Genomic DNA, 15,605 nt, shown 5'->3' on the forward strand with positions numbered 1-15,605 from the left:
ACTTTTAATCTTTATTTTAGAGTGTATCTCATATATATATATACTAAAATAACCACAGGCAGGTTCTATAGGAAGTATTCCAGAAGAAGGCACCATTATCTTGGAGATGACAGCTCCTTGCCTGTTATTGCCCCTGAAGACCTTCCTATGGGACAAGATGTGGTGGTAGAAGAGAGTGATATTGATGATCTTGATTCTGTGTAGGCCTAACTAATGTGTGTGTTTATGTCTTAGTTTTTCTTTTTTTTTTTTTTCTTTTTTTGAGACAGAGTCTCGCTCTGTTGCCCAGAAGTGCAGTGGTGCGATCTCGGCTCACTGCAAGCTCCGACTCCTGGGTTCATGCCATTCTCCTGGGTTCATGCCATTCTCCTGCCTCAGCCTCTGGAGTAGCTGGGACTACAGGTGCACATCACCACGCCTGGCTAATTTTTTTTTGTATTTTTAGTAGAGATGGGGTTTCACCGTGTTAGCCAGGATAGTCTTGATCTCCTGTATGTCTTAGTTTTTAACAAAAAGTTTAAAAGTTTAAAAAATAAAAATTTTTAAAATAATTTTTTCTATTTAAAATAGAATATAGAATAACGATATAAAGAAAAAATTTGTACAGCTATACAATGTGTTTTAAGCTAAGTGTTATTACAAAAGAATCCAAAAGCTTTAAAGCATTTAAAAGTTTGTAAGGTTAAAAAGCCACAGTAAGCTAAGGTTAATTTATTAATTTATTATTAAAAGAAAGAACATTTCAAAAATAAATTTAGCATAGCCTAAGTGTACAGTCTTTATAAAGTCTATAGTAGTGTAGAGTAATGTCCTGGGCCTTCACACTCACCAACTCACACAGAGAAATTTCCAGTCCTGCAAGCTCCATTCATGTTAAGTACTCTATACAAGTGTACCATTTTTTATCTTTTAAACTGTAATTTTACTCTACCTTTTTATGTTAGATACACAAATACTTAACCACTGTGTAATAATCTAGCCTAGGTACGTAGCAGGCTGTACCATCTAGGTTTTTTAAGTACACTCTATGGTGTTAACACAGTGATGAAATCGCCTAATGACACATTTATCAAAATGTATCCCCATGGTTAAGCAAAGCATGACTATGTATTGAATATAAGGCTTGTATATTACTGAGTGTAAGATTGCCACTGCAGTCTGGTGTTGAGAATATGGGCTCATATCATAGTTCAAATATTCTTTCCCTTGAATAATTTTTGAACTCTCAGAAAATAAACAGGTATACAAAACAACCCCTACTAAGCTGAAAAGCGTGGTAAATATGTGACTCTATGTCACATAGAGTGGTTTCCTACCAGATGCTGCCTGATTTGACCCCCTTTCTTACCACTTGGTACTCAGATCCCCTACTCCTGACCAGCAATGGAATAAGGCTCAGATGAACTAACAAATGTTTGTTTCACCTATTCTTTTTTTAAGGTTGAAAGTTTAACAGATCATTAAACTGTCACCACATCAAAAGGGCTGTATCAGAACAGAGAACCCAGAAATAAAGTCATATATTTACAGTCAACTGATCTTTGACAAAACTGACAAGAATATACACTGGGGAAAGGAAATCCTTTTCAACAAATGCCGCTGGGAAAATTGGATTGGCATATGCAGAAGAATGAAACTGGACCCCTGTTTCTCACCATATACAAAAATCAACTCAAGATGGATTAAAGACTTAAACGTAAGACCTAAGAACTATAAAAATACTAGAAGAAAACCTAGGAAATGGGAACAGATTGTGAGGACAGAAAACTTAAAAAAGGAAACCTAGGAAAAACTCTTCTGGACATTGGTCTAGACAAAGAATTCACGACTAACACCTCAAAAGTACAGACAACAAAAACAAAAATAGACAAATGGGACTTAACCCAACTAAAAAAGCTTCTGTACAGCAAAATAATCAAGAGTGAACAGACAACCTGCAGAATGGGAAAAAATATTTGTAAACTATGCATCTGACAGGGGACTAATATCCAGAATTTACAAGGAACTCAAACAATCCAACAAAAAAATCCCAATAATCCCATTAAAAAGTGACCAAAAAGCATGAATAGACATTTTTCAAAAGAAGACATACAAATGGCCAGCAGGCATGTGGAAAAAAAAAAAAAACGCTCAACATTGCTAATCATCAGAGAAATGCAAATTAAAACAACAATAAGATATCACCTTACACCAGTCAAGAATGGCTATTATTAAAAAGAAAAAAATAATAACAAATGTTGGCAAGGACATAGAGAAAAGGAAACTCTTATACACTATTGATGGGAATTTAAATGAGTATAACCTCTATGGAAAAAATATGAAAATTTCTCAAAGAATTAAAAATAGAACTATCATTTGATCCAGCAATCCCCCTACTAGGTATCTACCCAAAGGAAAACAGATCCTTATATCAAAAAGATGCCTGTACCCATAAGTTTATCACAGCACTATCCACAATAGCAAAGATATGGAATCAACCTAAGTATCCATTAACAGATAAATGAATAAAGAAAATGTTACATATATACACAATGGAATATTATTCAACCATACAATACAATGAAATCATGTCTTCTTCAGCAACATGGATGGAACTGGAGATCAGTATCTTAAGTGAAACAAATCAGACACAAAATGACAAATACCATATGTTCTTCCTTATAAGTGCGAGTTTAATAATGTGTACACATGGAGGTAGAGCATGGAATGACAGAAAATGGAGACCCAGAAGGGTGAGGAGGTGGAAGGAGGATGGATGATGAAAAATTATTTAATGGGTACAATGTACATTATTTGGATTATGGATACCCTAAAAGACCTGACTTCACCACTATGTGATCTATGCGTGTAACAAAATTACAACTGTACCCCATAAATTTATACCAAAAAAGGACTATATCAAAGTGCCATCTGCCACCAATTTCTTTAAACCCTATGGAAAAAATATCTAACAAATTTACATATGCATTGGCAACATCTAACAAAATTTCATATGCATTTTCCCTTTGACCCAGCAATCCCACTTCTATGAACCCATCTAGAAAATACACTTTGACAAAAATAAAACAATATATGAAATAGTTATTCATTGTAGCATTAGTTGTAACGGTGAAAGACTGGAAACAAAACAGATATCCACCAAGAGGGAACCAGTTAAATAAATTATATACACACAGTGGAGTTCTGTGAATCATAAAAAGGGATGAGCAAGATCTCTGTGAGTAGATATGAAAGGATTTTTTCCAAGACATATTGTTAAGTGAAAAAGAAAAGTGTAGAAAAGAATATATGGTATGCTATTTTTTGTATAAGAAAAAGTGGAAAATAAGAATATATATACTACATATTTGCTTATTTTTGCAAAAGAAATACCAGAAAGATAAATTTAAAAATGTATGGAAAGTGGATATCTATAAGGGGTGGGGTGGATGCTGTGGAAAGGACAGGCTGGACTTTTCTAATTATCCCTCTCGATATACTTCTCCATTTTGAACAAAGTAAATGTTTAACATATTTAATAAATTACATTAAACTAAAATGGGGAAAAACAGACCCTATGATTGAACAAAACAAAAACAAGTAAATGTAATTGTCTCACATTAGTAACATAACTACACAAAGAAAGAATAATTTCAAGAAACTTTTGAACACCGTACATCCTTGTCAATATATAGTCTAAGGACAAAATGGATAGTAAGAAATAGCAAACTTCACTAGTAGGATTACTGTCAGTAGCAATTTTGAAACTAATTTAAGTATATTATAGGATTTTTTAAGTGAGTATATTAATGTTCTAAGAACCAAGATACTCTAAGAGAAAAATATATGTATAAAAGTACCAACTCAGAAATGTGATAATTCTTACTTTGAAAAATATTTTCAAAAATGTAAGCATCACACAAAACACCTGTGTAACAAACCTGCATGTGTATCCCCGAATCTAAAATAAAGTTGAACTTTTTAAATGTACTATTTTAAATGATACCATAAATGTGTGAAGAAATAAATCACTGAAACATATGAGGAAGGTGGACTGTCCAAAAGTCAGATTGGAAAGCATACAAAGGGGGAGCAAGGTGGAGTGAGTAGTGGTGCCCGTGTTCTAAAACTGAGGGAACAAGAGGGTACAGCAGGATCAAGCAAGGGACAGAGAGAAGGAAAGAATGGAAACCTGAGGTGTGGGCAGGCATCCAGAGAGGAGAAAGAGAATTCATATGAGGTATAATCAACATGTGGCACAAAGTCATGAGGAGTCCAGAATCCAAGTGAAAGATTAATTTTAGGAAGATGGTTCTTACTCTGAGAGTAGAGAGGAAGGTGGCAGGTGATGTCCTGAGATGAAGCTATAAAGTGCAAAACGAATTTACAGGTGTTCATGCCGGCTGATACCAATCAGTCCCATAATACATGGGCTACATGTGTAGTGGGGCCAAGGCCAACTGACTCTACCACCATGATGCTGTGTCCAGTTTAAGGACTCTGCTAGAAGGTGCAATGGGACCACAGAAAAGGAAAACTGGACTCAAACTGGGGGTTGAGATTCCAAATGTGGACAATAAGAATAAGTTAGGCAGAGAAGGATGGGAGAGAAGACAGCAGACACACAGAGAAGGACATCGGGAAATGCACAGCTGGCCAGGAAATGCCAAAGTCATGGCTGGCAGGAGGGGAGGTGAGGGGCAAGCCAGCTGGGAAACGCCTCAAAGGCCCCAGGGTTTGAACCTCACGCTGGAGGCTACTCAGGGCCAAAGGAGGATTTTAGGTGGCTGAGTGAAATCAGCAGATGCGGGGTGGGGAGGATTTTAGAACTGGAGGAGCAAGAGACAGGAGGGACAGAAATCTAGTTAGCACCTCTCCCCAAGACGTGAGTAAACAGCGGAGAAAGAGCAGATCCTGGAGGCATATTTATGAGGTCAAACTGACAGGAGAGAAAAGAGGAAAAGAGTGAAGTGAGGAGTGGACACAAGGCTAAGGCAGAGTGGGGCCCAGAGTATCCCGACCACCATCTAGACTGCTCAGGACCATCTATGATGAGGGATGTGAACTACAGCAACTCTGCTCAAGTATTTTGGAATAGGAGACAGTTTGAGTGGCTGGAGGGCAAGATTTTACATGAGGTTTGAAGTCTCTTTCAATGTTTATATTATTACCTGGATTCCAGCTATTTTCTCAGGCTGATCCAACCAAAGCCTAAGCCATGATGCCACCTGTTAAGATAATAAATGACATCTTACTAGATAAGTGGGATGGGGGGCTGGAAGGACCTTCTACCATCATTAAGAGATAGCTAAGTGCAAAGGGCACCAGGAATGAATGAACTGAGTTTTACACTGGTGCAAGGAGAAAGCAGGAGCAGGAAGCTAGCAGCAGAACAAAAGTCTGGGATCACGAACAGCCACCCACAAATGGGTTTCTCCAGGCTCTTGGAGTCCTTGTCACTTTTTTGACAAATGTGACTGATGGTCAGGAGCAATGTGATTGGTGATGTGATCAGAATACAGGCAGCAGAGTGGTTTTTCTCAACAAAGGCAGTCCATAAACCAGCCTAAAAACAAGCAGGGTCCCCATGCTGACTGTGAGTATCAGGCAGCTTCTAAATGAAAGCAGGGCAGAAGGGGGATCTTCTGATTTTAGTAAGACATACAAATGAGATACGAAGTAGGAATTAGCAACTTGGGCACATCTTCCCTGGAACTGGCACATGGCTAATCATGGTATCTAGGTCAGTCAAAGAGGTCACTCAAAGACAAACCAATGCTTTATGCATACAGTCATTTTTAGAACTACTTTGCCAAAACACTTGCTGTGGGTTTTTTTATTGGACTTTTAGGAATGCTCAGGATAAAGGCTTTAAGAGAGACATCTTTAATTAGTGCTAACATTAGCCCATTAACCCAGCGGTTACAATGAAATGTGGGGGACAGACCAAAATCTCAGTAACCATCAGCTTCCAGTCCTTGTGCAGGGGCTACCTGGACAGTGTTGTGCCCATACGAAGGGGCAGGAGCCAGGCCAGTGTCTGTCCTCTGCAGATACCTGAAATTCACCTGAATGACCTGTCCGATGAGGTAACAGGTCTGGCTTCATAAAAGAGTCTGAGGTCACCGGAAATGGGAAATGGGCTTGCTAGTGAAGTAAGAAATCCCCCAAATACAGCCTAGGCAACAAGAGCAAAATTCTGTCTCAAAAAAAAAAAAAAATTCCCCCAAATAAGTGCTTAGTCCTACAGAACATTTTCTGAGACATCTGAGTTTCCAAAAGCACTGTGTATACACTCCCCTCTGCATTCTGTTCAAGTGGCAGCACTGTCCTTCATTCCCACAACTGCTTTTTAAAAAAAAAAAAAAAAAAAAAAGAACACTGTGGTGAGCTTTTTATTTTGCTATTTTAGGGTCCATCATTTTACTTTAAAAAGGACTCTATCATGGGTATTTTGGAAAATACTTAGGTTAGGTGAAATAAAAAATACCCTATATCTTTTCCTCCATCAAACTATTTTAAAAGAAGGCAGAGATTCTTGGATCTGGAGTCCCAGACACAGCAGTTGAAGCCACAAGAGGCAATGGCAAGGTGCTCATGACATCGCTACCGAGCTGTGGAGAAGAAACAGCTTTGTCATGATGCCGACCTCGGGCAGGTGTCTCAGCTCCCAGAGGTGCAGCCCTGAGCCATCAATCCTCCCAGACAAGAGCCACTTGTCACAAGCTGTTTACAGAGCACATCTGTGGCCAAATTGTACTTCTCCATTCCTTATTTTTTTCTTCTCTCTTCTCCTCATCTTCATTTCCTCACATTTTGTTCCCTTTTTAATCCCTTCATTCTTTTGTTTCTCTCAATTATTTATTATTTTATTATTTATTTTGAACTCTTGTTCAAAGGCCTACTGTCTCTTTGCAATAGCACAATATTAATCCTTTACCCCAATCACATTTGATCCTTAGAAATATTCCCCATTTTGTTTGACCTCTTCCAACTTTATCCCCAAATAGTCTCAGTGCATATTTTTTTTAAAATGTAGACATCATAGATGTGGGGTGGTGGTGTCCCATTAGTATATCTAGAAGTAAACACAGTTATTAAAGGGTAGTTTCCTAGGACTGCTAAAAAACAAGTTAACCACAAATTTCATGGCTTAAAACAACACACATTTATTCTCTAACAGTTCTGGAGGGCAGAAGTCCAAAATCAGTTTCATTGAGCTAAAGTCAAGGCGTCAGCAGAGCCAGTTCCTTTGGCAGCTCTAGGGGAGAATCTGTTTCCTTGCTGTTCTGCTTCTGAAGGCTGCTCATGATCCCTTCCTCGTGTCATTCCAACTTCCTGCCCCCATTGTCACATCTCCTCCTTCTGTAGTCAAATCTCCCTCCCTGTGCCTCGCTCTCACAAGAACATTTGTGATGACATTTAAGGCCCACCCAGATAATCCAGGAAAATCTCCCATCTCAAGATCCTTTATTTGATCACATCTGCAAAATCCCTTTTGCCATATAAGGTAATAGCCACAGGTTTCAGGAATTAAGACATGGATATCTTGGGGGCCTACTACAGGGGGGCTATAGCAACTCCATCCATTTCTATTCCCTTCAAGAGAGCAGCAAAAGGGAATGACATCATTTAAAGGATAACCGCAAATCTCTTCCTATTAGAAGAAAATGATAAATTCCAGTACTTTATTGATAACAGATTATTTGTGATATCTTACAACTTATCTTTACTTATCAGTGTGTCATAACACCAAAACCAGAAAACTAACAAAATGGAGAATTGGTGTGGGAGGCATAATTCTAAATTGAGCCCCCCAGATTCCCAATCCCTGGTCTACATACCCTGTATAATCCTCTCCCCTTGAATGTGGGTGGGACCTGCGAGTATGATGGGATGCCACTCCCTTGATTACACTGCATAATATATGAGACTCTGTCAGAGCCCACTGACTGAGATTCTCCTGCTGACTTTGAAGTGAGGTGCCATGCTGTGAGAGGGCCCTCTCACTACGAACTGAGGAAGGGTTTCTAGGAGCTTAGAGTCCCAGGTAACAGCCAGCAAGAAAATGAGGACCCCATCCTAGAATTGCAAGAAATTGAATTCTGCCAACAACTTGAATGGGCTTGGAAGAGGACCTCAGCTAAGATAATCTCAGATAAGATTGCAGCCCCCACTGACACCTTCATTTCAGCCTAGTGAGACCCTGAGCAGAGGACTCACCTTACCCATGACAGAATCCTGGCCCACAGAAACTGACATAATACATTTGTGTTGTTTTAAGTCACTAACTGCCAAGCATAATAGAAAACTAATACAGTTGGCAAGCACAGAATTTAAAAAGAGAATTGTAAGGACAGACTTTGGGAGGGTCAATAAACTATCTGAAATTATATGAAAATTTTAGAGTACGTGTGCATTTAACTAAGGAATGGGTTCATAACTTGCATCATATCCTCAACAAGCCAGTGGCCCAAAACAGATGAAGAACACCAAACTGAGGTCTAATGGAGCAGTCAAAAAATAATATTTTGAGGTTCCAATCTGACATGATATCAAAGAGTAAGAGAGTTCCATAAAGAAAAAGTGGGGACTAATAAACCATTCTTTGTTAATATCCTTCCATCTCTTATCACACAGGGCAAGGTAGAGAGTGGAGATGTAGGAGTATGTTTCATTGCAAAGTATTTCTGTAGAGAGAAATACAGTACTTCCTCCATCCCTCAGGGCAGGATTCACTGCCTTTAACAGAACTAGTACACAACAGACAGTGCTCACCACATGCTCAAGTTGCCTTCTTCGATTGTCACCTTGACCTCATCCTCATGGCCCCTTTCCTAATACTCTACTGTAGTTCCTCACCGCTGTATGGCTAAAAGCTTCAAAACCCTTTCCCAAGCTTCCCTAAATAAACTCAAGAGTATCTGCACGAACTTTTCCACCCATGCAGGTGACCAATGACTGATGGAGTGATACCTTTCTATTACTTGATTTCCTAGCAACCAAAAAAGTCAACCTGCCTGGGAATCTAACTAATTAGGATTTGAATTCAAAGCACATACATTCATCTAATGTCAATACCATGCTATGTACTGATCCCTACTGAGTGACCTAAAAGCTAAAATGGAAAGACATTCATAAATAAACCCTGAATTAGCAAATTAGATTGCTTTTTAATGGGAAAGGGATAATGAGGCCAATTTTATCCAATTCAGCATTTATTTTCTGAGCACTTACAAATATGCAACCCACTGAGTTAGGCTCTATAGAGAATACAAAGATTCCTAAAACAAGTTCCTTACATTCCCAAGGTTGGAATATGCTGGTGGCAGCTGCATGAAAATAACTCAGTAAAACTCTTTTAAGGCAAGAAGAAATAAGTTGTATAATAGAGAGATAAACAACATTGTAGGAGAAAAGAAGAGGTATGAAGTCTGACATGGTGGGCCTTGAAGAATGAATAGGTGAGGGCATTTGGGATGTTCATTCCAAACTGAAGCAGGATGAAGTCAATGGTGGAGAGAAAGCTAAACATACACGATGTGTACAGAGAAGATGGGGAGTATGAGAAGGAGGAGTACAGGCTGACAACTGGATACAGCAGGACATGAGGCTGGACACAATAGGACATCCCTTGCAGGATGAGACCCAATTGTTAAGAGATCAAAATAGACCAACTTTATCCTCTAGGTAATGAGATACCAGGAAAGGACTTCACTGTGTGGTTGTTGCTGCTGCTAGTGTGTGTGTATTAGAGCATTCTTGCAGTGCTGTAAAGAAATATCTGAGGCTGGGTAATTTACAAGAAAAGAGGTTTAATTGGCTCACAGTTCTGCAGGCTGTACAGGAAATATAATGTCAGCAACTGCTTCTAGGGATGCAGGCACATTCATATGATGAAAGCAAGAGCAAGAGAGAGAGTTGGTGGGGAGGTGCCACACGTACCTTTAAAAGACCATATCTCACAAGAACTCACTCACTTTTCGCAAAGATAGCACTAACCCACGAGGGATCTGCTCCCATGACCCAAACACCTCCCACCAAGCCTCACCTCCAGCATTGAGGATTACAATTCAACATGAGATTTTGGTGGGGACAAATATCCAAAATATCTGTGTGTGTGTGTGTGTGTGTGTGTGTGTGTGTGTGTGTGTGTGTGTGTGTGTGTAATCATGAGAGTAATAGAATCCAAACAGTGCTTTAAGAAAATAACTTTGGTAACAGTAGGAGAAATGGCTTGAAGAAGCTAAAGATCAGAGAAATGAAAAACAGTGAAGAGTCCATTCGAAAAATACAGGTGCTGATAGCTAACATATATTAAACATTAAGCACTATACTTGTATTGTCTTATCTGATCTTCAAGACAACCTCACAAAGTAGGTACTATAACTAACCACATTTTCTGCCTGAGAAAACAGAGGCTTAGAGAAGTTAAGCAGCTCTCCCAAAGTCATAAAGCTAGTGGGTGGAAGGAACAGGTTCTTAAGTCAAGTTTGACTCCAAAGCCCAAATTTTTACTACACTGTTTCTCAGGTAATAAGGTCTGGACTACAGCAGTGGCAAGTGATAATGGGAAACATTTCAGGGGCAGAATCAATTTGGGAATGAGAAAGAGGAAGAGAGAGAAATCAAATATAACCAAAAATACCAGCTGTGCGCAGGTAGGGATATCACAGGCCAAGATGACAGCATAGAACCGAAAACTACAACACTGGCTGCAGCAAATGAAGAGCTAATCTGTGAATTTCATGGGTGACCTAGGCTCATACATTAGCACCTCATTCTATGAGAAATTAACCAGCCATGGGCTAGTTTTTCTTTTCTTTTTTTTTTTTTGAGACTAGTTTTTCTTATTAATATATATTCAATAGAAGGTGAAGTAGCTTCCTAGTAGACCAACCAAGTGGGAGACACTGACACTTATCTATGGGCACCCTGCACCTTCACCATCACCACAAGCCAGCCCCCACGATTGTCAACCAGTCATTTGTCTTTCATCTTATTCTATTCTTGTCCCCCTTTTGGCCATTCTATTCATTAACTACATCTTTATCACCAAGCAGAAAAGTACAAAGTCAGATGGTGAAATTCAAGCTGATAAAAATTTGCCCCTGCTAAGTGTTTCTGATTAAAGATTTTCAAGGGCAGGTTTTTAAATTACTGTGCAAAAAGGAAATCTATGAAATCAACTAGCCATGCTTCCCCCAAAACCTAATGACATGAAGAACTCAAAATGTATTGCACGAAGGTTAGGTATTGAGAAGATGTCTGTAAGTCTCAAGTGACTTACGTAAGTCTGCAGTCTCTATATGAGTTTCCACCAAACAGGTGGGTGACACTTCAGAGTTTCAACACCAGTCATCCTCCTCTTCTTTTCATTGATCTTCCTTAGATTTGGGCATCTTTTTCCAAAATTGACCTGTAGTGTGGTAAGTAACTCCCCTCAATAGTAACTCCCCAAGAGTTGACAACCCCTCAGGGGTTATGTCAGATGCTTACCAATGACATCTCACATGGATGATCTGCTGATGGGAACAGTCATAAAGCCTGTGATACCATCCATTTTCACCAGACCAAACCTTCTCATCTTCTCCAAATATTAGCCTAATTGGCATCTTTTTTTTATATTGACAGAGCTTTATGCAATAACAAATTCCAAAGTTCTTCCTTCTCCTCAGTCACATTTCTTTCATCTTGCTATGTATTGTTAGCTGCATTGAAACAGTAGTTTACATGTGTTACATGGTCTGCAGTTTGTCATTCAGAAACAATCTGGTGTCAAGTGATTCTTCTCTTGCATACTTAGGGAAGTCATCATTGTTGCTTCACCTTTTATCATCTTTACTTTCTTAAAAGTCAATAAGACTTGGAGTAATAGAATGTTTCTTATTATCATTGCTTTCCATACACCTTACATGAGGTTAATAATGTCACAAAAATGCTTAAAAATTAACTGCAATTCCAGCTGGGTGCGGTGGCTCATGTGTGTAATCCCAGCACTTTGGGGGGCCAAGGCAGGTGGATCACCTGAGGTCGGGAGTTCAAGACCAGCCTGACCAACATGAAGAAACCCTGTCTCTACTAAAAATACAAAATTAGCTGGGCATGATGGCGCACGCCTGTAATCCCAGCTACTTGGGAGGCTGAGGCATGAGATCACTTGAACCTGGGAGGCGTGGTTTGTGGTGAGCCAAGATCGCGCCATTGCACTCCAGCCTGGGCAACAAGAGCGAAACTCCATCTCAAAAACAAAAACAAACAAACAAAAAATTAACTGCAATTCCAGCAAACGTGAGTCTACCATAGACTAACAACAGAACATGGAGCCCAGTACACAACCAATACTGCCATCTGTTGGTGCCAGGCAGAGTTCACTCACTTTTGTTTGGAATAATGGCTTTGTTTCTACCTGTCAAAATTAATAGTTTCAAAATTCCTAAATATGGGAGCCACTATCTCGCTTTTTGAGCCTGATAAAAGCAAAAACCAACCGTTTCTAAAAATGTCTTAGATTATCATGACAATACAAATTGGAATTTCTATTGTTTCTTTGACTACAAAGAAATAATTTGTTTGGTAAGGTGTTTTCAGATAAATACTTGTCTTTGCAGAATCCATGCTAGATGGACAAATATTTTCATATCACTCTTGGAGCTGACACTTTAAAGCATTCCTGGAGAACTGCATATGTTCTCACATACAAGCAAAATTGACTCATTTGTAAATATTGAGCTTTTCAATGCTATCTATTCATAGACAATCGGCAGTATTAGGAAGCCCACTGGATCAAGAGTCAGCAAACAGATTCTTATCCAATCTGCCACTCAGTTCCATGAGCTTGGTCAAATCCTGACTTGCAATTTCTTCATGTAGGAAATGGGGTTTTAGTGCCGAGCCTCCTTACCTAATGGGTATGTTGAGAAAAGTGAATAACATATGTGAAAATGTTTTTAAAATCATTAAGTATGATAAAAATTTAAAATACTCCCTTTATCATCTTGCTTAACTCAAAGAAGTTTCTTCCACATACACAAACCACCACCTGTCATCATCTGACTTATTTGGTGTGTACTTTTTTGCAATATTTTGTAATCTATTTTTATTCCTCCCAATGTTTAACTCATATATATATATGAGTTTAAATATATGTATATATTTAATTTACATATATGTATATATTTAATTTAAATATATATATGTATTTAACCTGGGTGTGGTGGTACACACCTGTAGTCCCAGCTATACAGGAGGCTGAGGTGGGAGGATCACTAGAGTCCAGGAGTTTGAGACTGCAGTGAGCCACGATCCTGCCACTGCACTCCAGCCTGGGTGATCCAGCCTGGGTGACAGAGTGAGACCCTGACTCAAGAAATACATATTTTTAAAAAAAGAAGAAGAAGAAGAGAATTGAGCAGAAGAATAAAAATAAATGCTTCAGCTGCATAAACATATAACTTCTTTCATGGTCCTACTAACATATATTCAAAATTGATAGTAAACATGTGAAATAAATAGCAGATGCTACACTTCAGGGAGAATTTCAGGAACCTCTTTTTCCTTTGAACTTAAATCCATTGCTACTACCCTCTTGTGCACAGCGAACTAAGGCCTAATAAAATTGGATTTAAACACACCTTCTCTCTCATCTTCTTGCATACAAGATCAGTATGAGCTGCAATTCTCAAAGTGGTGTTCTACCAGTTGTTTCAGTGAGGGATATAATGTTAATGATGTTGATGTTTATGTTAATGTTTATAATTTAATTTCTATTGCTATTATTATGGAATGGCCTATCCAGTATCTCATGAAAGCTATTATTTTTCTTAGCCTATTTTCTGGTAGTAAATTTTCACAGTGAGAACATGGCAAAACCCCCTCTCTATAAAAAAAAAATACAAAAATTAGCTGGGTGTGTAGTCCCAGCCACTTGGGAGGTGGGAGGATGGTTGGAGCCCAGGAGGTTGAGGTTGCAGTGAGCTGAGATCCCACCACTGTACTCCAGAGCCAGACCCTGTTACAAAAAGAGAGAGAGAGAGAGGGAGAGAGGGAGGGAGGGAGAGAGAGAAAGAGAGACAGAGACAGAGACAGAGAGAGAGAGAGAATGAAAGAGAATAGGTGATCTACATTATCTTCTGTTCCTTCAAAGTAGTCTTAGAATCAGGGGGAAAAAATAAGGTTACTTCTTCAACTCACAAATAGAGCCTTCTTTACTAGTTCCAGAGCTTGGCTGCCTAATTTGTTCAATTTTATTTTATCCTATTTTTCTTAATAAAGCAATTAAAAGTCTCATAAGAAAACCCAATTATTGAGTCTAGCAGCTCTGAAACACCTAAAAAAATCCATGTTGGTCCTCAGTGCTATTTATATCCTCCCTTCTTTCATTCCCTAGTTTGCTGTCTCATCAGGCTTGGGAAGATCTCTTTTATCAAAGTTACTGTTGCCAGAAAACACAAAAACAAGATGGAGGACAAAGCTAAGAGGAGAATAAGTTTCTCCTCTCCCCCAACCCCAGCCACACTGATACGTTTAAGTGAACATCCCTGAACACACTCATTTATAGTCATATTCACCCCAAATTCCCCCAAATCCAAATGTAGGCAAACACAAAAGATGTTCCATCAAATGTGAGCAAATATTTTTCTAAACATTTTATTGCCTTGTATTAAATTAGCATTCACCTATGAACTAGGTCGCAGATGCATCAAGCCCAGGACTCCTGGCTCCTAATCACATGCTCTTCTTCTTCTTCTTCTTTTTTTTTTTTTTTTGTTTGTTTGTTTTGAGTTGGAGCCTTGCTCTGTTGCCTAGGCTGGAGTGCAATGACGGATCTCAGGTCACTGCAACCTGCACCTCCCGGGTGCAGGCAATTCTCCTGCTTCAGCCTCCCAAGTAGCTAGGACTACAGGCAGACGCCACCACACCTGGCTAATTTTTGTATTTTTTGGCAGAGATGGGGTTTCACAATATTAGCCAGGCTGGTCTCAAACTCCTGACCTCAAGTGATCTGCCCGCCTTGGCCTCCCACAACACTGAGATTACAGGAGTGAGCCACCGCACCCTGCCCCAACTCCATGCTCTTTCCATTACTCATGCAGTATTTCCCAACAGAGATGTTCAAAACAATGACACAGCCGCATTTTCCTTCACTATAAGCACTTCTTTCTTCCCAGCTTTACTGAAGTATAACTGAAAATAAAAACTGTATATATTCAAGGTATACATGATGTTTTGATATACATGTACATTATGATTACCACAATCAAGCTAATTAACATATCCATCACCTCCCATAGTTACCTGTGTGTGTGTGTGTGTGTGTGTGTGTGTGTGTGTGTGTTGAGAACATTTAAGATCTCTCTTGGCAAATTTCAAGTGTACAATACAGTATTACTAACAGTAGTCACCACATTGTACCTCAGATCTCCAGAACATATTAATCCTGTACAACTGAACCTTTTTACCCTTTGACCAACATCTCCCCATTTCTCCCACCCCTGACAGCCATCATTCTACCCTCTGCTTCCATGAGTTCAATGTTTTTAGATTCCACATATAAGTGAAATCATACAGTACTGTCTTTTTGTGGCTGGCTTATTATACTTAGCACAATGTCCTCCAGGATCACC

The 15,605-nt window shown here is 39.1% G+C and overlaps 1 protein-coding gene across 3 annotated transcripts in view; it reads right to left on the minus strand.

Moving 5' to 3' along the window:
- Positions 1-15,605, minus strand: part of GPR176 (G protein-coupled receptor 176) — a 121,259-nt gene that overhangs the window by 63,812 nt on the left and 41,842 nt on the right. The gene's annotated exons all lie outside the window — the stretch shown is intronic.

The sequence above is a fragment of the Homo sapiens genome, chromosome 15 (assembly GCF_000001405.40).
Source record: "Homo sapiens chromosome 15, GRCh38.p14 Primary Assembly".
Taxonomy (NCBI): Eukaryota; Metazoa; Chordata; class Mammalia; order Primates; family Hominidae; genus Homo; species Homo sapiens.